The sequence below is a fragment of the Homo sapiens genome, chromosome 21 (genome assembly GCF_000001405.40).
Source record: "Homo sapiens chromosome 21, GRCh38.p14 Primary Assembly".
Lineage (NCBI taxonomy): Eukaryota > Metazoa > Chordata > Mammalia > Primates > Hominidae > Homo > Homo sapiens.
In genome coordinates this window covers 31011634-31038052 of record NC_000021.9, presented here as the reverse complement: position 1 = coordinate 31038052, position 26419 = coordinate 31011634, and the positions used below count along the sequence as shown (strand labels likewise).

Genomic DNA, 26419 nt, shown 5'->3' with positions numbered 1-26419 from the left:
AAGGGGAGCCCTTCCTGTAGAATGACCTAGAATCCCACCTTTCAAGCTGTGAATCCCTCTCTTCCCTTATTAATATATCAACATGGCACCAACTCTTCTTCTATTTCAATAAACTAATTTTAATAGTAGAGCAAATTTGGTTTAATTTTTTTTTCTGTTTTACTGTGGTAAGAACACTTAACATGAGATCTACCCTCCTAACAACTGTTTGAGTCAACCATACATTATTGTCGACTACAGGTACCATACTGTATAGCTGATCTCTAAGGTCCGTTCACCTTGCCTGACTTAAACTTCATGCCTCTTTGTCAGTAACTGCCTATTTCTCCCTTCACCCAGCCCTTGGTAACTGCCATTCTACTCTTGGATTCTACAAATTTCACTCTTTTGGATGCCTCATGTAAAGTGGAATCGGGCAGTATTTGTCTTTCTGTGGCTGGTATATCTCACTTGGTTTCATTTCTATTGATTCATTTCACAGAACCAGACCCAAGCTTCCAGGATCTGTGTGTGTGTTAATTCACCATTGTATATTCTGTGGTCATGACAATACCTGGCATGTATAAGGCAGTCAAGAATATTTGTGGATTAAGAAACTTGCTCATCAGTGTTATAATATAAAATCATTTTTAATCTGTCCAGTGGTTTGGGGATAATTTGGGGATAATGGTGTTCTTTTATAGCTCTCCACCCTCTTCTCACCCCATTTCCTCTTATACACACACATACTCACACACTCTGGTCAAATATCTCCCACCCTAGGTGGAGTTTATTTTTGCCCCAGCAGCTGACAAAAAACCTCAACAGTAGCACTCCATATGTACACCCTTACAGGGTCAGGCAGAATGCCTTGCATTTTGTCAAGAAGCATAAATGAAAAATTATTTGCTTTCAAGGCAAGCTACAGATATTTGCCACATAACTGGAAAATGTGCACGTCTGGACTTCACCATAAACAACCTAATGTCTATCAACAGTATAATGGAAAAATAAATTGCAGTATAGTCTTACAATGGAATATTACACAGCAATGACAATGGCCAAACTAGAGCTATAGGCAACAACCTGGCTGAACCTCACGATCATAATGTGGAGTGAAAGGACCCAGGCATAGTAGAATAAATACAGTATGAGCCCATTTATTTAAGTTTTTAGACAAGAAAAACGACATTACAGGGTTAGAAGTCAGGATAGTCGTTACCTTTGGGAAGACAGTATTCATGGGAGGACTTGAGGGGGACTTCTGAGGTGCTGGCAATTTTCCATGTTTTGATCTGGAAGTGGTTACATGGAGGTTCTTTCTAAGTTATTAAATTTATGTTGTGTGTATTTTTCAGCATGTTTGTTATATTTCAATTTAAAATGGTCTAAAAATTGATAATATTCCATGATTTCAAAAGTGCCTTCTAGGAGCAGATAATTCAGATAGTTCAAATTTTTTTGAGGACCTACTTTGTATTACATGCTGGCTACGTCATATGGAAATTTCAAATGAATAATACATCGCTTTTGGTGTCAAGAAACTCAAAATATAGCAGCCCATAATAGAGACATAGGTGGGGAAGGGAGGTCTTTGAGAAGGGAGTGGTGAGTTTCTATTCCAAAATTTAGGAGATTAGGAAAGTTTCTCCTAATGTGTCTAAGCCTCAACTTTAGGATATATACATGTTATTAGTATTGTTAGTCACAAATCTAATCGTATCTGAAAGAATAAGACCTAAAGAAAGTTAAACAGTAACCACAAAGAAAATCAAGTGAAAAACATGAATTAAGAAACTTCTTACCTATGGGTTTCTCTCTTTAGCTTACATAGGAAGTGCATTTTGCTCAGTGGACACGGAGTATATTTGCTGAGTGTGCTGCGGGTAATATGAGTAGGAGATGTGTATGATTAACAGAGAAAACAAATCTAGCTCAATACTGACAAAACTTCAAAGGGAATTTTGATGCCTAAAATTGTTCTGGATGATTTTGAAAATTATATAATAGGCTAAATTATTCTTTGGAATATTGTGAGAAAAATTTGTTATGCTGATAGGAAAGATGCAAATATATTAACAAAAATGGTGTTTGCCATCCTTTAATTAATTTATCTACTCTATTAAAATGGTTTGGATAAGTAAAGATATACAGTTACTAATATCCTTTGTGTTTCTCAAAGATATTTTAGTTAGGCAACAGTATTCATGATTTTATATAAAGCCTTCAGCATTTCAATAGTGTTGCCTGATGTGTTTGGGATAGCTGATCGGAGATTTAACAAAATTGATGTTGATATCAAACATTCCTCATACTAATGAATATGTCTGAAAAATGTATATGGAAAAACAATGACTTGAGAACTAGGAGTTACTCATGAGGGTGATAAACATAGTGATCAGCACAAATCTTGGCCAGGCAGTTGCTTTTATAACCCCATTGGCAGCTAGTATCTTCTATTTGACAAAAATAATGTACCACATATGAACCTCTCAGTAAATTCAACTTTCCCCAAATGCCTGCTGAGATTTATCTTGCACAGAATGGATTAAACTTTCAAGGCTTAGAAGAAAAATGTACATTCATCCCCAATTCACCAGCTAAATAGAATGCCAAGCTCACGTCTTAAAGGAAGCCTTTAAGAACGATTCGGATGACCCAGAGAGAGATGACATTCTCTACCCCCCATGATGCCAGGACTGGAGGCTTTAAAAACACCTGTTTGTGCTGGAACCTAATTGGCACTAATCCTATGTGGCAAAATAAGCTGGGGTCTGATAAGGTTCAGAACATTGGTTAGGAATAATTTTTCAGTGTTGCTTAAAATTAGTATTTTTTTATTTTTATTTTATTTTTTGAGACAGGTCTTACTCTGTCACCCAGGCTGGAGTGCAGTAGCATGATCTCGGCTCACTGCAACCTCTGCCTCCTGGGCTCAAGTGATTCTCATGCCTCAGCCTCCTGAGTAGCTGGGGAGCATGCACCTCCATGCCCGGCTAATTTTTGTATTTTTGGTAGAGACAGGGTTTCACCATGTTGCCTAAACTGGTCTTGAACCCCTGAGCTCAAGCAATTCACCTGCCTCAGCCTCCCAAAGTGCTGGGATTACAGGTGTGAGCCACTGCATCCAGCCAAAATTCATATTTTTTAAATTAAACTTTGGTGACTACTATCTGGGAGGTGCTTGGAAGTAGTAAAACAAAACAAAATCTCTGTGCATTTTGTAAATGTCCCTGATTTATTGGCTATTTTCTTATCTATTATTAGTTGACAGTAGATGATAAATATCTATAAATAAAGAAGTAAGCTTTTGCTAGTTCCTCTATAATGTCTAATTTGTGTTGTAGGTAATTTGAAACAGTTGAATCCCAATTGACTTCAGATCAGGAAATATTTGTGTTTATGATTTGGAATAATGTTTTGGTATTAGTCAGGATAATACAGACTATGCTGCAGTAACAAGTACACCCTCAAATCTCAGGCTTAATCCAGTAAAGTTATTTATGACTCTTGTCTAAGTCTTACTCAGTGAGTCACTTCTCCTTGGAGCTCTCCTATAGTGACTCAGGGATCTGGGCTGCTATGTCTTACAGCTCTGCTATCTCATTGTTCCAGCCACACTAAAGGGAGAGAAGAGAACATAGAGAAAACATAGCTGCCTTTGACTGCTTTGGATGAGATGAAACATATTAGTTCTGCTCCTTTTCCCATTAGCAAGTATTCAACCTTTTGTCTCTGTGTGCCCCGAAAAGGGAGAATTGGTGGTCTTTCCACAGTTACTTTTCTGGATTGTTTTGCATATCTTAGGGACCCCTTGCTCCATTTCTGTTTTAAATTTATTGTAGCTCAAACATGCATATGATGGAGATGTGGAAAGATCAGGGTAAATTTTCCACACTTGATAGAAAGTTTTTCTAGGCTGATACCTTTTTTGTCACTCTAAAACGGTACAAGCTGCCTTATTGGAACTCCAGGTCTTAAGTATCTAGATTCATATATCTATGTACTTTCATATCATTATATGTTACAGGTATTAAATCTACAAAATATTTGAATTTTAAATCTTATAAACATAACAAAGATGTCTATATTTTCAAAATCTTAGGTTTTAAAAATAAATCTAGAGAGAGAGCACTGAATCCCTCATTAAATGGATGAATTTCTTCAGGACTAACCTTGCCAAATGGTTTAGGGTACATGAGGGTAGGAACTAAAGCTTATCTGATAATTATTAATTTATTTTTTCAGTCTTCCTGTGGCATCTTCCTGTGTCTCATCAATTATGATAAAAGCATTCAAAGATGTATAATAGCTCAAAGTCTCTCTTTTCCTTACTCCCATTTCTGTCTATGTAACTCAGTTTGTGCCATCTTCTTTCTCCACCTGGCCTTAACCATCTGCACCAAGAAAAAAAAATCCCATTTACATAATAGCATTTTGGCAGATTAGGACTTTCACTGAAGTTTCAGGGTGGGAGGGGCACAGAGTGTGATGGAAAAATGATCAGGTAAGGCCATTTCCTCCACCATCTTGCCTTGGAGCCTATTCCAGCCTAGCTTTGCCCAAGCTCACACTCTCCATGTGTGACCCATTCATTATGTGAATCTTTAAGAAAGTGATTCTGTTTCTGGATCTCCTTGAGAAAAATCCCTTTCTGCTCTTTTCTTTAGGACCCCAGAAATTTTAGAAAACAGATTTTTTTCCATTTTGTCATATTTTATATCTTGTGTACGTCCTAATAAGCTTTCAGGTGATTTACAGTAAAACAAAGTATCACATTAAAACCATCAAGCATTAGAGACAAAGGACAAGAGGCAGGGCAACTATGCTAGATAACCTAGGCTAAGGGAAAACTGTAATTGAGTTAAGAAAAACCTAGCTCTGAGGTTCCTAGCTGCCGAAGTCATTAAGGAAACTAATTAATCTTCATTTTAGTTGATTGAAATGCTTGTTTTTTTTTTAGTTTGCCATGACTCTTCTTAATTTCGGCTGTGTTACCCAATGTTTGGCCCAGCTTTATTTCACTTATCTCTTTAATGTACATTGCTTCTCCGTTTTTGTTCATTGACCCAAGTCAGTTTGGGTAAATTCATTAACACAATCTCATTGGCCCAAGTCAATGAAAGAAACATTGACAAAACAGGGCCAAATACAGCTTTATAGTATGTTTTGGGGATGACTTTCAATGTTATTCATTCATTCATCCTTTCAAATATTTGCAAACACTGGCATGTCTTGGGCACTGTGCAAAGTATATGGGAAGTAGCAGTTGGTACCCTGCTCCTAAGTAGATTGTAATCTACAGAAAGCGAAGCTTGAGAAGTTCAGCAATTTAACCTGACTTTAAACAGAAACCCACTCAAATTACAGAGCTGGAATTTGAAAGCAAATCAGTCTTCACCAAAACCTATGTTACTGACTTATCCGCTACTTTCTTTGTGACAGGCAGAATTTCTACAGTGGCCTCCACAAAAATGCCCTGCCCTGATTCATGGGAACTGGGAATAGGATGAGATGACACTCTCATGATTGTGTTATGTTACATGGCACATGACCTTGCAATGATCTGGTTAGGTCTGATCTAATTACACGAGTTCTTTTTTTTTTTTTGAGACGGAGTCTTGCTCTGTTGCCCAGGCTAGAGTGCAGTGGTGTGATCTCGGCTCACTGCAAGCTCCACCTCCCAGGTTCACGCCATTCTCCTGCCTCAGCCTCCTGAGTAGCTGGGACTACAGGCACCTGCCACCGCACCCAGCTAATTTTTTTGTATTTTTAGTAGAGACGGGGTTTCACCGTGGTCTTGATCTCCTGACCTCGTGATCCACCCGCCTTGGCCTCCCAAAGTGCTGGGATTACAGGCATGAGCCACCGCGCCCGGCTCATCACATGAGTTCTTAAAAGCAGAATGTTTTCTCTACTGATAGCAGAAGTCAGAGATTCAAAGCATGGAGGAGATTCAACATACTGTTGCTAACTTTGACCATGGAGTGGACCCCATATGAAGGGATGCAGGCGCTGCTTAGAAGCAGAGAGATGCTCCCACCTAACAGCCAGCAAGTAAATGGGAACCACAGACCTACATCCACAAAGAGCTGAATTCTGTCAACAAACTGAACGAGTTTAGAATTAGATCCTTCTGCAGAACCTCCAGATAAAGGCCCAGACTGGCTGATGCCTTGACTTTGGTTTTATGAAATTCTAAGCAGAGAACCCAGCCAGGCTTACTGAATTTCTGACCTACAGAACTGTGAGATAATAAAATGTGGTGTTTTAAGTTGCTAAATTTTGGGTATTGTGTTTTGCACCAATAGAAATCTAATACATCCTCTCAGATTAAAAAGAAACCACTAATCCCCTCTCATTGGGCAATTCATGAATCAGAATAGCTGGATCTCTTATCTTCTACCCATTTCCCCCATATATTCCTAGGGTTATCATGAGAAAATTCCATGGAATCCAATCTCAGCTGTACTTCCAATTCGCCATTTGAATGACTCTTCACGCTCAGCCAGGTGTTCTGGTAACTGTTTCTCTTTGGGGAGCCAGGAATGGCCATTGACCAGTTGGGAAACCAAAGCTCAGAGGAAGCTTATGTGAGGTCATACAGAAAATTGGTGGCAGATCAGCTGGGCGTGGTGGCTCAACGCCTGTAATCCCAGCACTTTGGGAGTTCGAGGTGGGCGGATCACCAGGTCAGGAAGATGGAGACCATCCTGGATAACACGGTGAAACCCCGTCTCTACTAAACGTACAAAAAAAATTAGCGAGGTGTGGTGGTGGGCACCTGTAGTCCCAGCTACTCGTGAGGCTGAGGCAGGAGAATGGTGTGAACCTGGGAGGCGGAGCTTACAGTGAGTCTAGATCGTACCACTGCACTCCAGTCTGGGCAACAGAGCAAGACTCTGTCTCAAAAAAAAAAAAAAAAAAAAAAAAAAAAAAAAAAAGAAAGAAAATTGGTGGTAGATAGATATGGCTTGTTTAAATGTGTTTTATTTTAAAATTTCTTCTTTCCATTAGGAAGCAGAGGTCTACTCTTTTGAGCAAGATAATTCTGAAGGTGAATTTAACATCTGATGCAGTTGTAACACTTACGTAGGGAAATACTTTTCTACTCTCATTTTCAGGCATACTTTATTACCACAGCCTCTTGGGTTTTGCCAGCAAAACATCTTTTTGTGACCTCAATTATATGCTGTCGATTTGTTTAAGCCACGCTATTTCCACCTCAGTAGTGATCCAACTTGTTGGCATTGGATAGACCCTCACATTCATTGTTATGTGAATAGACACTTAAAACCATTTTGATGTAGTAAAAGAAAGTAAGTAAATTTAGGTTACTAAAGAAAACTCCTGCTGAAATCTTTGACCCTGAGCTCCAAAGAGCATAGTATAAATGCTGGGTAAACTATTTTTGTCCTCTGCTCTGTAAATGAGTTCCTTTCTTTCTTCCATTGAGTACTGTTCAGCACAGCTGCTATTTTTAGAGCCAAAAAAAAAATGGGAACTGAAAATAAAGAAATAAAACCTTGTCTGAAACACCTAAGCCTGTGAATCATGGCCTGCCTCCTGCATAGAGTGTGTGTAGCTGCTAAGTAATTTATGAATGAAGGAGTGTAGACCAGGGATGGCATCAACAAAAAGAACTAAGACTGATGGATTCTATTTCTATTTCCAAACTGATGATGAAATGACTTCAGATAAGTCACTTTAACTTATTTTGGGACCTCTACCTGTAAAATAGGAAGAAACTCCTTTTTTTCTTGACAATGATATAAAGACCTGCTTAGCTTCTCACCTTTGCAGACTTCTCGTTTAAGGCTTGATTCTCTGAAGCTCCTCCTTTAATATTCAACCCTGTACAACAGCAATGGGATCCATGCTTTTCCTTGGGACAAAGGAACTCAGGACAATAATTCAAATGATTCAGCCTTAGTGCTGGTTCACTTGGAGTGTTAGCCCTGGTTGGGTTCTGGCTTTGTTCTGTGTGATCTAGCCCTTTCCTATGACCTCATTCTAGTAACTGGATCCCCAGATTGTTTTATTACATCTGAGCCTCTCCTTTGGTTTTCGATCTGCTATGCCACTTCCTCTGAGACTAAAGCTCTGCAGCTGATCCTTTTTGTCCCTGCTGTCATATTTCAGCCAGAGTATCCAGTTTAGGTAAGGTTTCAACTCTTTGTCCATCTATGCCACCACTTTTTTTTTTTTTTTGAGATAGAGTCTCGCTCTGTCGCCCAGGCTGGAGTGCAGTGGCACAATCTTGGCTCACTGCAAGCTCCACCTCCCGGGTTCACACCATTCTCCTGCCTCAGCCTCCTGAGTAACTGGGACTACAGGCGCCCACCACCATGCCAGGCTAATGTTTTGTATTTTTTTTTTTTTTTTTAGTAGAGACAGAGTTTCACCGTGTTAGCCAGGATGGTCTTGATCTCCTGACCTCGTGATCCACCCACCTCAGCCTCCCAAAGTGCTGGGATTACAGGCGTGAGCCACCGCGCCCGGCCATATGCCACTACTTCTTGAAAGACAATCCTTGAAGACAATTCATTAAAAAATTTTAAATTCAATGTTGAGGAAACCCCCAAAATACTTGTAAAATATGCATAAAATATAAAGACTAATGATACAGTGAATATCTGGAGTATCTCACCTGGTTACCACCACTATCACTACCAAAAAAAAAAAAATTATTGTTACCATTGAAGTCCTTGTCCCATTCCCTTTCCTCTCTACTCAGAGGAAACCACCCTGGCTGAATTAACTTGTGTTTATCTCTCGCTCTCGCTCTCTTTTTTTTTTTTTTTTTTGAGACTGAGTCTAGCTCTGTTGCCCAGGCTGGAGTGCAGTGGTGCAATCTTGGGTCACTGCATGCTCCGCCTTCTGGGTTCACGCCATTCTCCTGCCTCAGCCTCTCGAGTAGCTGGGACTACAGGTGCCCGCCACCGCGTCTGGCTAATTTTTTGTATTTTTAGTAGAGACAGGGTTTCACCATGTTAGCCAGGATGGTCTTGATCTCCTGACCTTGTGATCTGCCCGCCCCGGCCTCCCAAAGTGCTGGGATTATAGGTGTGAGCCACCGCACCCAGCCTATCTCTCTCTTTTTGTAACTTTAGTTTTCCCAGACGGTATATCCCTAAGTAACATATTATTTAATGTTGTATATTTTTGAACTTTATATAGATAAATTATAGTGTATGTGTTATGATATTTCCTTTTTTAGTTCAACATTATGTCTCTGAGATACTCCATGTTTTTACATTTACCTGTAAATTATTAATTGTCACTTCTAGAAGGCAGTGTTTTCATTGCATGACTCTCACATAGTTTGTTACCTCTGCTATCCTTGATGAACATTTGGATTTTTGCTATTTTTATTATGAAAGGGACTGCTATGAATATGCACCTGTCTTCTAGAAGAAACACTTGCTGGTTGATACAGTCTTCAAAGATGCTTGTCTCAATTTATAATCTCACCAGAAGGATAATTCCATATCCTTGCCAACATTAGATTTTGTTAGGCTCTTTAACTTTTGTCAGTCTGGAAGTCATAATATAGTACCTAATTGTGGTTTGAATTTTTGTTTTCTTGGCGATTAACAAAACTAAGAATCTTACTTGTATTTTTTTGGTCCTTGGATTTTCTCTTCTCTGAAGAACTGTTTACATTTTTTGTTTCAGTTTCCTACCAGTCATTTGCTTTTTAAAATGATTTGCAGAAGTTCTTTGCTCAGTTACTATTCCTTTGCCAGTAACATCTAGGGCAAACATTTTTTTTCCCAGTTTGTGGGTTGTCTTTTTATATTTCATATCTTTTAGGACCAAAAATCCTTAATTTTAATTTAGCTAATTTATCTCTTTTAAAAAATGACTTGCATCTTTTGCATCTTAAGACAATTTTCCTGGCCCAGTGTGGTGGCTCCTGCCTGTAATCCCAGAACTTTGGAAGGCCAATGTGGGAGGATTGCTTGAGGTCAGGAGTGAGACCAGCTTCAGCAACATATTGAGACCCCATATCTACCAAAAAAAAAAAAAAAGACTTTTTTCGTTCTCCTAATATCACAAATATGTTGTCCTATATTTTGACTAAAAGTTGTATAGTTTTGCCTTTCATATTTATGTCTTTAATCTATCTGGAATCTGTTTCTGTGCAAGAGGTTAAAAAGGGCTTTGATTTAATTTTTTCCAAACCAATAACAATGTCTAAGTAATGTTTATTTAAAGTCTATTCTTTTCCCACTGGTGTGCAATGCCAGCTCTGACATAAATCAAGTTTCAAGTCTGTTTCATTGATCTGTTGCTTTTCCCTGTGATAATTCTACAGTGTCATGAATGTAAACATTTTGTAAGAATTCTTGATATCTGGTAAAGCAAGCTTCACTAACTTGTTGTCTTAAAATGTGTTGGTTGTCCTGGCTCTATGTTTTTCCATATATATGTTGGAAATTTCTTTTGACAAGTTAAATATACACACATACACACAAATTCATTGCAACGTAGACTGTAAATGCCTTTATCATGAATTTGCAGAGAACTGACTTGTTTTATATTGCTGCTTCTAATCCACAAACATGGTATATCTTGTATTTGAAGTCTTTTAATAATTAATATGTCTATCATAGTCTTATGCATATTTTGCTCAATTTATTGCTAGGAATACACACACATTTGCTATGATTAATCATGATATGGGATTTTAATTGTGTGCACTTGAATTGTATTTGCATATTCTCAGCACACTTCATCATTTTCATTCCATGCTATGATAAATCATTAATATTCTCATTTGTGAAGTCTAGATCAGGTCTATTTTCCTGTCTTCCCTCCCACTTTAATTGGATAGTCTTTATTTTTTCTTACTGGTTAATAGACATTACATTAAAAATGTTAAATTATCAATGTATGTTTTTGTCATATATAAAGATATAAATAAATATATTTACTCTCTATATAAATATCTTTTTCTACTAATGGCTTGCCATTTTACTTTTTATTTCTGAATGAACCATATATAAATATATATAATTTTGGCATATATAAAAACACACACATGCATGTAAACACATATATGATTTTTACATTGCTATTTGGAAGACTGGTCTGTAATTTTTCATTCTTATAATGCCCTTGCCAGTTTTTCATACAAAGTGATACTAGCTTTATAAAATGAACTGGGGAGCGTCTCTCCTTTTATTCTTAGAAACTTACCTTTTCAGGAATTAACTTACCTTTTCAGGAATTAACTTATTCCCAGAGGTGGCTAATCAAACTACGTGGAACTAATATTTTCTTTTTAGAAAGTTGTTTTTTACTTACTCATTTCAAAAAAAGTTAATAAGCATATTTATTGTTTTTTAGTTGTTCTCTAGGCCATTTTGTAAATTATATTTTTCAATGATCTGCTCATCTGTTTTCATATTTATTAGTACTGTTATCTTTTTCATATGCATAGTGTCTATAATTTTGGTTAATGTTCATTCCAATATTATTTATTTTATCTCTTTTTTTAGATTAAACTTGTTAGAGGGCTGTCAGTTTTATTATTCTTTCAAATAACCAAGTTCTCACATCACCATTCCTTTCTGTTATGTGTTTACTTTCCTCTATTATATCCCTTTAGCACTCTTTGGATATATAGATAAATTTTCAGCATATTGACTTTTCTATTACTATTCTATTATCATATTACTTTATAAATTTTACTCTACATACCACTTTACCTTTATATCACAAGTTTTATGGGGCATGTGCTATTTTTGTTATTTCAATTCTTAATATTTTATAATTTATCTTGTGATTTCTTCTTTGACCTATGAGTTATTAAATTTGTGCATTTAAATTCCCAAACATATGGGGGTTTTTCTATATGTTTTTGTCATTATAAGTAACAATTAAATTGACTTTTGGTTGAAAAGTGATCTATATGAGATCAATTATTTGACATGTTTAAAGACTTTAAGACGTGGTCACTTTTAAAATCTTTTTAAATATAAATATTCTTCATGTTCTTGAAAATAATGTATTTTGAAGATATAGTGCTCCATATATGCACATAAGATAATTTTTGGGTAGTGTTCAATCTGTATCCTTACCAATTTATTTTCTGTCTGATCTAGTGTCAGAAAAAGTATGTTAAAATATTGTGCTATAATGGTAGAAGTGCCTGTTTTTTTTCTGTACTTCTCTGAATTTTTGTTTTAAATATTTTGCAGCTATGTTATTTACTGCATTATTGTATCATAACACCTTTGACATTGATGCCTAAGAGAATTGAGTTTATATATATATACTAACTCAATGTATATAGATACATATATCTCAATATATATAACTCAATATATAGACAGAAAGAATTGAGTTTACATATATTAACTCAAATATATATATATATACACATATATACACATATATATACACACACACACATATATATATATTTGGCTAGATTAGGGTTAATTTTCAGTGAACAATCCTCAACTCTGCAAAAGATCTTTCCATTGTCTAGACATTTATATCAATGTACATTTGAGGTACACAAATAAAGCTTAAATAAGTGATATGTGTTAATTATTAGCTTTGTTCTTCGATGGTGGGAAGGGTTAGGTTTGCGCTTTTGTTGGATTCATTAAATAGGGTTACTATCATTTTTTAAAACATGTGATGCATTTGCTTGTTCATGACTCTGAGTCCATTTTGTCCTCAGAGGGGAAAAACATGATGCTGGGGACCATGAGTCAAGGATGAAAGAAGGAAAAGAGAAGGAACCGTGGAATAGGATCCAGTTGGTTTGTAGCAGGACAAGCCGCGGACAAAACCCCTCAGACACCGAGTTAAAGAAGGAAGCGGTTTATTTGGCGGGGAGCATTGGCAGGACTCCTGTCTCAATAGCTGAGCTCCCTGAGCGAGCAATTCCTGTCCCTTTTAAGGGCTCACAACTCTAAGGGGTTGTGCGTGAGAGGGTCGTGATCGATTGAGCAAGCAGGGGGGTACGTGCCTGGGGGCTGCATGCACCGGTAATTAGATCGGAACAAAACAGGACAGGGGTTTTCACAGTGCTTTTCTATACAATGTCTGTAATCTATAGATAACATAACCAATTAGGTCAGGGGTCGATCTTTAACTACCAGGTCCAGAGTGTGGTGCCGGGCTGTCTGCTTGTGGATTTCATTTCTGCCTTTTAGTTTTTACTTCTTTCTTTGGAGGCAGAAATTGGGCATAAGACAATATGAGGGGTGGTCTCCTCCCTTAGGTTAATGTCGTAACAGCCTCCTTTCCTTTGTAGCTTCTTGGTTCCTTAACGACGTAGGAGGAAGACAGGTTTTGAGAAAATTTCACTTTCAAGGGAAATACTATTGCTTCAGTTTCAACCATCATTCAAAAAATCCTTAAATAATATTCTACAGGATGTGGACATGAATAACATTAAGTGTTGGACACCTAGACCAGCATTTTTGAAATCTTACCTTGGTGGCACCATTTCATAAAGTCCAGGCTACCTCTAATCCTAAACATATTCAGAATGTGATAGCAATTACCCATAGTTTTGAAGATATGAAAAAACAATGCATTCTTAAACTGACAGAGCAAAGTTTCTTTGGAAGTGCTTTATCAGGAATGAAAATGATGAAGTGTGCTGAGAATATGCAAATACAATTCAAGTGCACACAATTAAAATCCCAAGATGTGTTTTATGATAAATCATTTCACTGCAGTAGCAAGAATTAGCAATAGGAATTCAAATTGATAATTATGATTATATGATTTTTAGAATAGCTAACAATTTTCCATTTTCATCTGCTCTTTGAAATAAAAAGAAGAGTATAATATCTTAAAACCAATCTATAAAAGGCAGATTGTATTTCAAATGTACAAGAAATAATTTTTTCTCCCTGGCAGTCTTCTGTACCTTGAGAAAACCACAAATAGAATTTTTCAAAAAGTCTGGTCCTATCTCCCATCCCCACCTCCCAACCTCAGGATAAACTCTCAAACTTGTTTCAGTTCCAAAAATATTTCCAATACAGGCCTTAAAGAATGAGAGTAGTTGCTCTATGCTCCCATTACAATGCAAATGTCCTATTGGAAGTTAAGCCACTTCTAACCAATCCCTTCGGTGAGCAAGCCCTGCACTGATGGAATCACCCTATGGTGAACGTGTGTGGAGGTCTGTGTAAGAGGAGGACTGTTACGATTTTTTTTTATTTAGGCATTTATCATCAGCTAGGCCATTTCTTGTCTGCTTTCTGTTGCCTGTTCAGCTTGAAGGAATAACTCAAGCTGAGCAGACAATCTTCCAATTCAGAAATCATGTTGATTGCACATGTGATGGCTTTGCAGGGGCTCAGGAGGGAGAGGCACATGTTAGGATTATCTTTCATCTGCTGGTCCAAGCTTCTTTTAATTTTTAATTTGTTTAGGGTTTAATGAATAGAAGAGAAGAAATGTGCATGTTTTCAAATGTAGGTTTCATTATTATTCAGATATAGTGAGGCAAATGGGTCAGTAGATGACTGCCATTGAAAAGATGACTTGTCATAGATTTCAAGCGGAGGGGAACTCTGGCATACATGCCATACCACGGGGAGTCAGGGCACACAGAGAAGCATCAGCATTGGCCAGGAGGCAGAGGGAGAGAGGGGAAAACATCGGCAAGACTCTTTACTGTGGTTTCCATGGGAAAGAGCGGGGAGGCAGGGTAAGCTGGCTTAGAATTGGTTCGTTTGAATAATTTCAGCAGTTTTTGAGGTGCAGAAGATGTCCTCACTTGTCTAGTACCTGGCTCTGGGGTGATTTGGGCAAAGAAATAATGGCCGAGAGTGTCAGAGCCCAATAAAAGAGGTGGTTGAGAGGCATGGGCTCTCTTGCCTCTCAAGAGATTGGTTGGTTTGAATATGGAAAGCATGCTTGCAAGAGAGTCCTTTACTATTTCTAGTCATTGGGGAAGTGGTGGTGGGGGTCTGTGGCAGGGGGTGACAGTGCTTTCAAGATTAGCAAGGCCCCAAGATGTCAAAACATTGGAAATACATGGTTAATATGGTGTTGTACTAAACAAGTGTCATCCTTCCCGTGGTTGCTTTGTAAGGCTTCGTACAATTGTCCAAGGTTGACTGGACCCAAGGTAGTCCCATGACCTGGACCAGGGAGACTGCATAGACTGTGTCTTGCTTCTGCGCCTCTCTCTGGGTAGTGGATTCTGCCAAAGGCTTTGCTTAAGTCTGCACTTTCCCTCTTTGCGTTTCATCTGTGAAATTTGGACAAGAGCTGTCCTGTCTATTGAGGATGAATTAGAAAACAGGCACAAAGAGGGATTTAAAGCAAAAGATACTGTACTTTGCAAGTGTAATTCATGATTACTTAATAGGGAAAAGAAGCAGGTACTTCAAAAGAAGCATAAACGGAAAATGAAAACAACATACTACCAACAATGAAATAAAATCGGTCTTTTTAGTTTCTGATTTAAAGCATACATAGTAGGCATGGGTTTCATTTAGCATTCCCAGACTCAGAATAATGGCTCTGTGTTGAGGCAATTCAGAGAATCTGGCAATCATGTAACTCTGTTGAGATGTTGGCCAATTCTATTGCAATCCTTAGTCAAATTTTTGCAGTGCAGTATCTGTGTGCTTTTGTCTGTATCTTTTCAAGTGAGAGTTGGGAAGTTCCCCTCATGCCCTTGAGCATTTCAGGTTCCCTCGAAACAGCTTCCACAACATTGTTTTCCTTTATGCCAGGTACAAAATCCTAGAGAGATCCTGATTATACGATTTGCCAATCCAATGTTAAAAAACAAGAAAAAAAAAAACAAGAAAAAAAAAAGCTTTCTCTTGGCTGGGGATCCTCCATGCAAGCTTGATTTATTTCCTTATGTGCCTGGTGTATAACTAGTTAGTAGCTGCCCAGTGTACCAGATTTTAAAATAGACGGTAGTGAGGCTTTCTGTAAGATTATTGCATTTCCTAAGAAGCAAATGTAAACAAGGCATAGAGATGATTGCATTTGTGTTTTGAGGACCTCAGCAAGCAGAAACAATTGAAATATACCATCAACAGGAAGGAAAGAGTGTGTGTGTTTATAAAGCAGGATTAGAAACGAGTTTCCTGAATAAAAGACAGGAAGCTGAGAACACTTTTATTCAAATGCCATCTCTGTTGAGAATATGCCTGTTTTTCCTATTTATTATTCAAAAAGTAGAATACACCATCTCGTTCTGTAAGAAGGTCACAGGCACCAGCCAACTGATGACACTGAAACTCTCAGAAGCTTCAAATTTCTCTAGAAATGCAAAATAGTGCTCTTCAGTGGAGATGGTAAAATCATGATGTTTGCCAATTCCCCAGCTTTAAGTGTACACTTTGCACTTTAATCCCAAGAACAATATTGCTGAGTGAAAGGTATTATTCTCAGTAAATAGAGAAACTTAAAATGTAAGAACCAATGATGAGGCCGGGTGCGGTGGCTCATGGCTGTTATCCCAGCACTTTGGGAGGCTGAGCTGGGAGGACTGCTTGAGGCCAGGAGTTCAAGAGCAGCCTGGGTACCATAGTGAGACCACCCTCTCTTACAAAAAAAAATTAAAAATTAGCTGGGCATTGTGGTGCTGCCTGTAGTCATGGCTATTTGGGAGGTTGAAGTGGGAGGATTGCTTGAGCCTAGGTGTTTGAGGCAGCAGTGAGCCACGATCCTGCCACTGCACCCCAGCCTGGGTGACAGAGTGAGACCCTGTGTCAAAACACAACAACAAAAACCAGTGATGAGATTTGCCTTACCCAAAGAAGAGCGAAAATCATGTGCAAAATGAAGATTAAAAACTTAATGCCCTCTTTGTGGAAACATTCAGCCGTTCCCATGCAGCAGACCTTAGACTCTGTGGCGTTCTTCACCACACGGCTGTCTGACATTGCTAATATCCCAATGTGTGCCTTATGGGTCATGTTCTTAGTCCCTGTTTTCATAAGACTTTGGAAATCTTGAATTAAGCAAATACTTGGTGGGGACAGTTCCCGGTTCCTTGGGACAATCCAGTTCCTACTTACTAGAGAGTCCACGGGAACTGATATAGGTGGTCCTGGGGTGGATGATGGCTTAGAGTGGGTGTTTCTGGGTTTAATAGCAGACCTGGTTCTCAGCATAGGCAGGGTATGTGGACCTTCCAGCAGTATTCTTTATCATCTCCTAGGACTTTGTCAGATCTGGATTCTCTGCTTCTCCAACCCTCATGTTCTCATTTGTGTTGAAGTGGCTCTTCATCCTCACTGGGACATCTGCTCCCACAGCTCTGGTCTCTTGTCTGAACTCTTCGCCCCAGTCTGCCTCCGTTGTCCCTCTACCCAGCCTGGATCCCGTGACTCCTTTGTGCAGTTTCCTCGCCAGCACCTTAGCATCCCTCACCACCCTTGGCCCTTCACTGTCCCCATTTGTCACATCCATGTCTGGATACTTCTTACTGAACCCTTTCTCATGCCATTTCTGGGTGACAGGACCTGGTAGAGGAAGCTGAGAAACAGTGCTGAGGGCTTGGGGGTAAGTTCAAGTTGTCTGGGTGCCCAGCTCCTTCTGCTGTTCAGCAATCCTCTGAATCAGCTGTCAATCCTCAGCTCTCTTCTCCCCACAGAAAACTCTCATCTCTTCATTTACCGAGATCATCAAGTCCATCTAATGAGAACTCCTCTCATTTTCTCTTATTTCATTTCTAAAGTTCTCTGAGTGTTAGGATATTTTTGAGATATTAACCTCTATCAACTTGTTTTCTTCCAACATTTCCTGCTTTTCCTTCCTGTCCATAGAAGCGGTAAATTGTCTCCATGTTCATTGTCTCAGTGGAGAGGTAGGACAGGATGGGTCTTAATGATTTTGGTTTCAAATACTCTGAGCTCTTAAGAAGAAGAGGGCAACTAAGGACGGACTCAATGGTGGGGAAAAACATGAAAGAAGAATTCTTGTCCCTGCCCCACTTCAGTCCTTCCCAAAACTAGAAGATTCCTCTTGGATGATGTGAGAACAGAGGATCTGCTCTTCGTAAATCCTAGCAAAAGTGCACCTGCTGCCTTGTCTAGCAGAATTGCGGAGAGAAATTGGACTCGTGGTGTATACCAGATGGGCTCTTAGTCTAGTAGAGATTATTGCACCCCTGGTGTGGCACAAAGGTGATAGTGAGAGTCCCTTGCCACTGGCATTATATGGAAACAGCAGAAAAGCCACCAGACTTGAAGTCACCATGAGCAGAAACAAACATGACTTGGCAGAAAACTTCACAGACCAATATTTCAACTCCCTTCTCCCCAGCCATGTTTCAGGATTCTGTAAGCACCCTGGAACATTGATAGAACTCTGGAGAAGAAAGCAGGGAGGCCAGAACCAACTAGGATAAAATTTCCACCAACCCAGGGGGATGGGGGCTTATAATAACAATTAGGTTGAGTTATAGAAAAATACAATATGTATTGCCTGCTTGAGTTAAAGACTGAGATTTAGACCCACTTCATCTGTGTCTTTAACCATCTTCATTCTTTCACATTAACAAGAAGTGTTTTATTGCCTTATGTTTCATTTCAATTTCAAGAATAGCATGCCATCGTCCTAAATCATTGTGCTAATATTTCCAACATCTACCAAGCCTTCGTTGCATATATTCCTTCTTGTATTAGGTCATTTAAAGTCTCAAGGGGGCACATATCTAACTCAGAGTACCTAAGACGAGAGTAAGTATGTTGGCTCATGGAAAGCAAGAAAGTGTGACATGGGAAAACCACTGGGCAGGCAGAATGTGGCTGTGCCTCAGAAGTAACTGTAACTAGGGTCTAGCTGCCCTTAGGATTCTTTCTCTTCATTTCTTCAATCTGCTTCTGTCTGAGAAATGGAATCATTATCTTTCTTTGCAGAGTGACTGGCTTAGCCCAGCAGGGAAGAAACACAACGTCTGAAAGCACCAAAGTTTTTCATCTTAAAATTTTTACTACACGGGAAGGACGGACTCATGCTTTCTCTCTGGTACCTCATTTAGAAATCCATATATTGGCTGGGCACAGTGGCTCACGTCTGTAATCCCAGCACTTTGGGAGGCCGAGGTGGGTGGATCACAAAGTCAGGAGATCGAGACCATCCTGGCCAACATAGTGAAACTCCATCTCTACTAAAAATACAAAAATTAGCTGGGCGTGGTGGTGCGTGCCTGTAATCCCAGCTACTCAGGAGGCTGAGGCAGGAGAATCACTTGAACCAGGGAGTCGGAGGTTGCAGTGAGCCAAGATTGTGCCACAGCACTCCAGCCTGGCGACAGAGCGAGACTCCGTCTCAGGGAAAAAAAAAAAAAAAAAAGAGAAATCCATATATTGCTCATGTCACCTTCAATGTTTGAGGTACAGGTAGAAGTAGTTTAAAGAACGAGTTGGGGATGATGTAGGACAGAAAAAACAATAGATGTCTATGACCTATCTTTAAGAGAGATAAGCTGCCTTTAGGTGTTGGCTGTCATTTCAGTGGCCTATAAACACATGCATGTTCAGTCACAGAAAGTAAATACAAAAGAATGAGTATATTATCTATACTGCTTCCCTTTCCTCACTGTTTTCTCTCTTCTCTATTTCTTGCAATCTAGTGTCTGCTTCAGTCACCCTGAAGAAATTCCCTTAAGGGTTGCTGTGAATGACGTCATACTTCTCAAATTCAACTGCTTCTTTTCTTCCCCCAATAGCTGATTTTGTTAATGGCCTATTTTTGTTATTATTTTTGTTAGTATTTGTTATTATTATTTTTATTATTATTATTTTTGTTATAATGGCTAAAACATTTTTTCCTAGCTCAGATTCCAACTGCCCGTCTTTATCTGGTTTTCTTCCTACCTCCCAGATAATGCTTTTTTGTTTTCTTTGCTAATTTTGCTTTCTCCTTTTGCTCCTTAATTGTAGGTAACCATCACATTTCTGACTTAATCCATTCTTCTCTACTCTCGGTCTCATGGTAGTTCAAAGACTTCGGTAGCTTTTTTATTTTCTAAAGCATAAAACCGAAGATATTGAAAGAATCAAAGAGCTAGTACAAAGTTAACATTCCATAAAAACAATGTGATGAATGATAATGAGAACAGCAAGAGTTGACAGTTATTGAGCACTGGCCATTGCTCTAAACACTTTACTTGAATTAAGCCCTTTGATCTTCACCCTATAAGATGAATACTATTTTTATTATTTCCATTTTAACAGGTGCGGGCAAGATACTGTGCAGAGCTTGAATGCTTGTCCCAAATCAAATAGTAGGAAAGGCAGTAGTAAGCAAACTTGGGTGGTCTCCTAAACATGTCTACAGCTTCCTTGCATCCTGTGTTTGCTCTGGGTGATGGTCCCCATACCCAACTCCATCATTCAACATTCTGCTCCGCCTTCAAGTTAGAAGTTTCCAGATTACCTCTCCCAAGTGACTTGTAAGATGAATTCCTTCCCTCTTTTGAACTTTCATGGTGTTTTATTTGTGCCTTTGTTATACATTTTTTGTTCTACTTTCCACTTATTTAAAATATGTCATCTTGCTTAATAGACTGTAAGTAACCATAGGCTTGTGTGTCCCCATCCTGCCCCACCATAGTACCTCTTACTGCCATCTTCCATCATGAATGCTCTATCAGTGTCCATTAAGTGAACAGATGAGTCATTTGTCAAACAACCAATATTTACTGAGAATTTTAAATAGACCTTTATAGAAAATCTCTATAGACCAGTCCTACTCAAAGTACAGTCCACAGACTGGTGTTTTTCCCAGAACCATTTGTTATGGTGAGATAGGAAGCTTATTCCAGAAAGGTAAATCAACATACAGATTCCTTCATCAAGAAAGTCCTTCTCAGAAAAAAACGTTGGCTCAACTAAACAGATCTATGTGTGTGGTTGAATTATATTTTGGTATAAGCTCCTGACCTCATCAGGGACCAGTAACAAATAGTTTGAGGCCCAGTACTTTCAGTAGCACCACTATAGGGGATTGCTGTGGTTTAAATGTATGCATCCCTCCAAAACTCGTATGTTGGAATGTAAACCCCAAGGTGATGATATTAAAAGGTAGGCCTTGAGAGGTGACTAGGTCGTGAAAGCTTCACCCTCATGAATGAGGTGTTAACCACCTCAAAAACCACTATAAAAGGGATGGAAGGAACTAGCTGCACCCCTTTTTGGCCTTCCATTTTCTGTCGTTTGAAGACACAGCATTCATCTCTTCTGCCAGGTGTGGATGTAGGAACAGGGTGCCATCTTGGAAGCAGAGAACAGCCCTCACCAGGCATGGAATCTGCTGGTGCCTTGATCTTGGATTTCTCAGCCTCCAGAACTGTAAGAGATGTATTTCTCTTTTTGTAAATTACTTAGTCTCATTTTGTTATAGCAGCAAAATCAAACTGAGGCTGATATATAAAACAGACATGGTATGATTTCTGCTCCCAAGAGCTTACATTTTAATTGAAGAAATATAATGTGAAATTTTAAAGCAAGAATAGCAACAACTAGATCACAAGAAGATAAACATGCAGGTCAGTAAAAAGAATAAAGGAATTAAAATGCCTCTTAACTGTTAGTCCAATTCTCTAAGTTTTGCAGATCAAGAAACAAAGGCTTGGACAGGCTATTTTAAGCAAGTCTTAATAAGGCAAAAACATTTTCATGGAAACAAAATGTTAGAAGTACATTTAAAAGTATGACTGGACGTTAACTGTGATTTGAACATTCACAACAGTTATAGGTGAGCATAGGTTCCACAAGGAAGTTTTCTGGTCTTTATTTGTAGATTTAATAAAATCCAAAAGTTTGTTTTGTTTGTTGGTTCATTTTGAGATGGAGTCTTGTTCTGTTGTCCAGGCTGGAGTGCAGTGATGCAATCTCGGCTCACTGCAACCTCCACCTGCTGGGTTAAGCAATTCTCCTGCCTCAGCCTCCCGAGTAGCTGGGATTACAGGTATATGCCACCATGCCTGGCTAATTTTTGTATTTTTAGTAGAGATGGGGTTTTGCCATGTTGGGTAGGCTGGTCTGGAACTCCTGGCCTCAAGTGATCCTCCTGCCTCAGGCTCCCAAAGTGCTAGAATTATAGGCATGAGCCACCACGCCTGACCCAAAAGTTTATATGATGAAATATAACATTAGCATATAAATAAAATATATTTCTGCAGTCTATACATCTTTGCCCTACTTAAAAATTCTAATTTGCCAGATGTGGTGGCTCACACCTTTAATCCCAACACTCTGGGAGGCAAAGGTGGGAAGATTGCTTGAGTCCAGGAGTTTGAAACCAGCCTGGGCAACATAGCAAGACCCCATCTCTACAAAAAATTAAAAAAAAACCTAGCCAAGTGTGGTGGTGTGTGCCTGTAGTTTCCGCTACTTGGGAAGTTGAGTAAGGAGGATTACTTGAGCCCAGGAGGTCGAGGCTGCAGTGAGTTATGATTGTACTACTGTACTTCAGGCTGGGTGACAGAGCAAGACCCTGTCTCTCGCTAAAAATAAAATAAAATAAAATAAAATAAAATTCTAATTTATCTTATTAAAAAAAGGATTGCAAATACTTAAGAAAGGCTTTCTGAGTGTCTATTTTCTTTGAAGGGCCTCTCAGTGTACATAGTTTGCAGCAAGGCTTTCAAATATTTATTTGTTGGTTACAAATGCAATTTTAAGTAGTCTGACAATCATTCATTTTCTGAAATATTATCAACAAGAGTAGACTTACTGAAGCAGCCATTAGTAGAACTGATTATAAATATCAGGTTGTATGTACCAGATTCCTTGAACTGTCACCTCTTAGAGACGTGAGTTAAATCAGCAGATTGCTGTGGAATTAGAAAAAGAAATGAAGACATCTTTAGGAACAAAATATATGATTTGACAGTATAAATGTATGCTGTTGCAGGCAAAGGAGAAAGAAAAATCTTTACTCCAAGACAAAGTGAACACTAGTGTGGTTCATGGGCCTCCTGACAAAATATCTGCTTGGGTGCACACAAGATGGGTCACAGCTGGCAAGAGATAGAGATACCAGCACAGGAGTATTCTAGCACACTCTTACAAATGTGTTAGAGAAAACACCCGATTTACAATTCTGCTCTCTATTAGCTCCATCCTTGTCCCTGAGCTACGGGAACACACACTAAAACTCACACATCAAAATGAAATCCCAAGGAAACCTAAGTAAAATGTAAACAAAAATATAACCCTTGAGAAAGACAGCAGGTCCAACAGTCACAGTAAGGAAAGTCTGTATAATTTTTTTCAAAAGCTGTTGCTTTGTTCAATCATACTTTGAAATATTCATTAAAAAAGTTTTTTTGATCCTTTAGGACTTCTTTGGAGGAAATCTATGCAAAGATAAACAGAACAGATGAAGAAGGTGGGAGAACCATGATGGAGAGGTTTACAAGCTGATTTGTTAAAATGATCTTTTTTGATTGGAGATGAACTGTGGATAAACGAACACTGTCTGTGAGGGACTTTTCTTTTTTTCTTTTTGCACTTTCTAATCCCCTCAGAGATAAGAGGACATCTAGAGGTCTTTCTCTTCAGATTCTAACGAGGCTAAGGCAGAGAACGATTGAAGAAGCTTATATAAGCATTACTCTTATTATGGATTGAATTCTGACTCCTCAAATTCGTATGTTAATGTTCTAACCCCCAATGTGACTGCATTTGCAAATAGGACTTTAATGAGAAAATTAATGTTAAATGAGGTCATAAGGTTGGGACCCTAACTCCATAGGACTGGTGTCCTTATAAGAAGTGAGAGGGATACAAGTGCACAGAGGAAAGGCCAGATGGGGACACAGCACACAGCAAGAAGGCAGCCACCTGCAAGCCAAGGAGAAAGGCCTTTGGAGAGATGAAACCTACTGATTGCTTGATCTTGGGCTTCTAGTATCCAGAACTGTGAGAAATACGTTTCTGTTAAGTCACCCTGCTTGGGGCACTTTGTTGTAGCAGCCCTAGCTGACTAAGATATTGCAATAGCTGTTCTATTCAACTTGTAGTCTGTGGACCAGTGCTGGTACTTGACCTGTTAGTAGATCACAGTAAGACAAGTACTAAAATTGAGAGTAAGACTTAAGAAACTTTAAAAAAAAAAAGCATTTTGACAATTACTTTATGTCTCTTGAATTGATAATATAATATTAAGAAAACTATTTTGTATGCTTTTAAAAATGTTCACTTTCCCAGTAATTCAATTTTCCCTCCCTCCCTCCCTCCTCCCTCCCTCCCTTCCTTCCTTCCTTCCTTCTTTTACAAAGTTTCGCTTCTGTTGCCCAGGCTGGAGTGCAGTGGCACTATCTCGGCTCACTGCAAACTCCACCTCCTGGGTTCAAACCATTCTGCTGCCTCAGCCTCCCAAGTAGCTGGGATTACAGGCATGCACCACCACACTGGGCTAATTTTGTATTTTTAGTAGAGATGGGGTTTCACCATGTTGGCCAGGCTGGTCTCGAACTCCTGACCTTAGGTGATCTGCCTGCCTTGGCTTCCCAAAATGCTGGGATTACAGGTGTGAACCACCATGCCTGGCCTCAGTTTTCTTGTATTTTATAAAAGTATAGCTCTGTGATGGACTGGAAAAAAAAATCTGCTCCTTCACCATAGGCTCTGATTTGGAAGGAAACTTGTTCCCCAATTCCCCTCTGTGTTCAGAATCTGAGACATAATTAAATACTGTGCTCTCTGTTCTGAACTGAAGTAGATACTAGAGACCAAAGACAGATTGACTTGCATCTTAGCTACTCAGATTTCCCTTGAGCAAGGGCTCAGAATTTGATGATCATATATCTTGTATTAAATTGTCTCTCTCTTCTGTTGAAAAAATGCCATGTGAGAATAAGAAGCTGATTAGTTTCTTCTTAGGTCAGATATTTTGAGGCTTTCCTTAGCTTCAAAGCAGCAACAAGCTGAACTCAATAGAAGAATTTTTTTACAGATTTGTTTCAAGCCACAAGAAAAGGGAAGCTCTAACAGAGTTTGGGTTTAGCTGCATATATCAAAACAATCCAAATAATAGTGGCTTAGTGTTTTATGATCCTTTCAAATGACAAAGAAGTTTTGGGATAATCAGACGATAGTTTGTGGAGCAGCTCAAGAATGTCCAGATCGATTTTTGAAATTCTTTAGCTTTTCTTTCATTTTCAGTTGTAATATGCCTGCTGCAGCTCCTGCCATCATAGCTGCACTTCAAGTCAGAAGAGGAAAGCAAAGAGGACAAGCCTAACTAACTGTGTGCCGACTGATTCTATTCCATTTGAAGGTGCTTCCTGGTAGCCACATGAAAAAATGCTGCTTAATTATTATTGGCTAGAACTGTGTCCCATAGCCATTTCTAACTACAGTTGATGCTGGATAATGAGGGGATGTTGTTTCTGTTTGGTTTTAGCTAGGCACATTGGTTCTGTTTGTAGAGAGGAAGGGGAGAGTAATGATTGAGAAGGAAGCTAGCACTCTCTGCCACAGATTAACACAGAGTGCATCTTCCAATTCAAGAAGTGAGCTGCTTGACTGGGTTGTAAAGAGAGAAATTCTCCTTACTTGACCACCTTACTGGATAGGCTGCTTGGGGATAAGAGAGGAGAGAGTCAATGGGTCCCATATGCACCTCTTCATAGAAATAAGATTACAGAAGGAAAAGAGTGTTTTGAAAGTTTCATGCTTCTCTGAAAGTGTTAGTGTGTTTCTTTTTCTCCTTATCTTTGGTTCTTAGCAGTTTTTGCCATAATATGCCTTGGTGTAGATTTCTTTGTGATTGTCTTGCATGTGGTTTGCAGAACTTCTTGAGTCTATGGCTGCCTTTCAGTATCAGAAAAGGCTCATTCATAATCTCTTCAAATATTTCTGTTCATTCTCTCTTCCTTTGCCTTCTGGGACTCCACTTACACATGCTTTAGGCCTTTTATCTTGTTCCGTAGAGCAATTCCACTCTTAAGTATTTCCTTTTTTCCCCTCTCATGCTTCAATAGTTATTTTTATAATGAGCAATATCAGTTCATTAATCATTTCTTCTGTTTATCTAATCTGGTGTTACCCCTGTTTCTTGAGTTATTAATTTCAGCTAATGAATTTTTTATTTCTAAATTTTATATATTGTTTCTTAGTATATTTCAATTCTCTGATAAAATTCCCCATCTTGCTATCTATATTCTTGAACACATCAATCACATTTAGTTTAAAGAGCTGTGGGTATCTTTCTGTTGTCCATTTTCTTTCCCCGTCTCTCTTTTTTTACAATCGCTTGGTTCTATTTCTTGGCATGCCTGGTGTTTTTTTGATGCCAGGAGGATGGCTTGAGCCCAGGGCAGAAGGATGGCTTGAGCCCAGGAGTTCAAGACCAGCCTGGGCAACATAAAGAGATGTGTCTCTGCAAAAAATTAGAAACATTAGTCGAGTGTGATGGCATGCACCTCAGTTACTTAGGAGGCTGAGGCAGGAAGATTGCTTGAGGCCAG

General features: G+C 38.8%; 2 long non-coding RNA genes across 3 annotated transcripts; one reads left to right on the top strand and one right to left on the bottom strand.

Moving 5' to 3' along the window:
- Positions 1–1784: 1784 nt before the first annotated feature.
- Positions 1785–7958, bottom strand: LOC105372774 (uncharacterized). Its single transcript, XR_937657.2, has 3 exons — positions 7775–7958; positions 3505–3599; positions 1785–1859 (listed from the first exon to the last, which is right to left on the bottom strand). It is a non-coding gene; the product is annotated as an uncharacterized LOC105372774 (long non-coding RNA).
- A 10904-nt stretch (positions 7959–18862) lies between these two features.
- On the top strand, positions 18863–23669 carry LOC105372775 (uncharacterized). Of its 2 annotated transcripts, none has more exons than XR_937658.1 (3): positions 18863–18963; positions 20175–20392; positions 23285–23669. It is a non-coding gene; the product is annotated as an uncharacterized LOC105372775 (long non-coding RNA). The 2 variants fall into 2 exon arrangements; XR_937659.2 differs by lacking the exon at positions 23285–23669 and adding an exon at positions 21547–21718.
- Positions 23670–26419: the final 2750 nt, after the last annotated feature.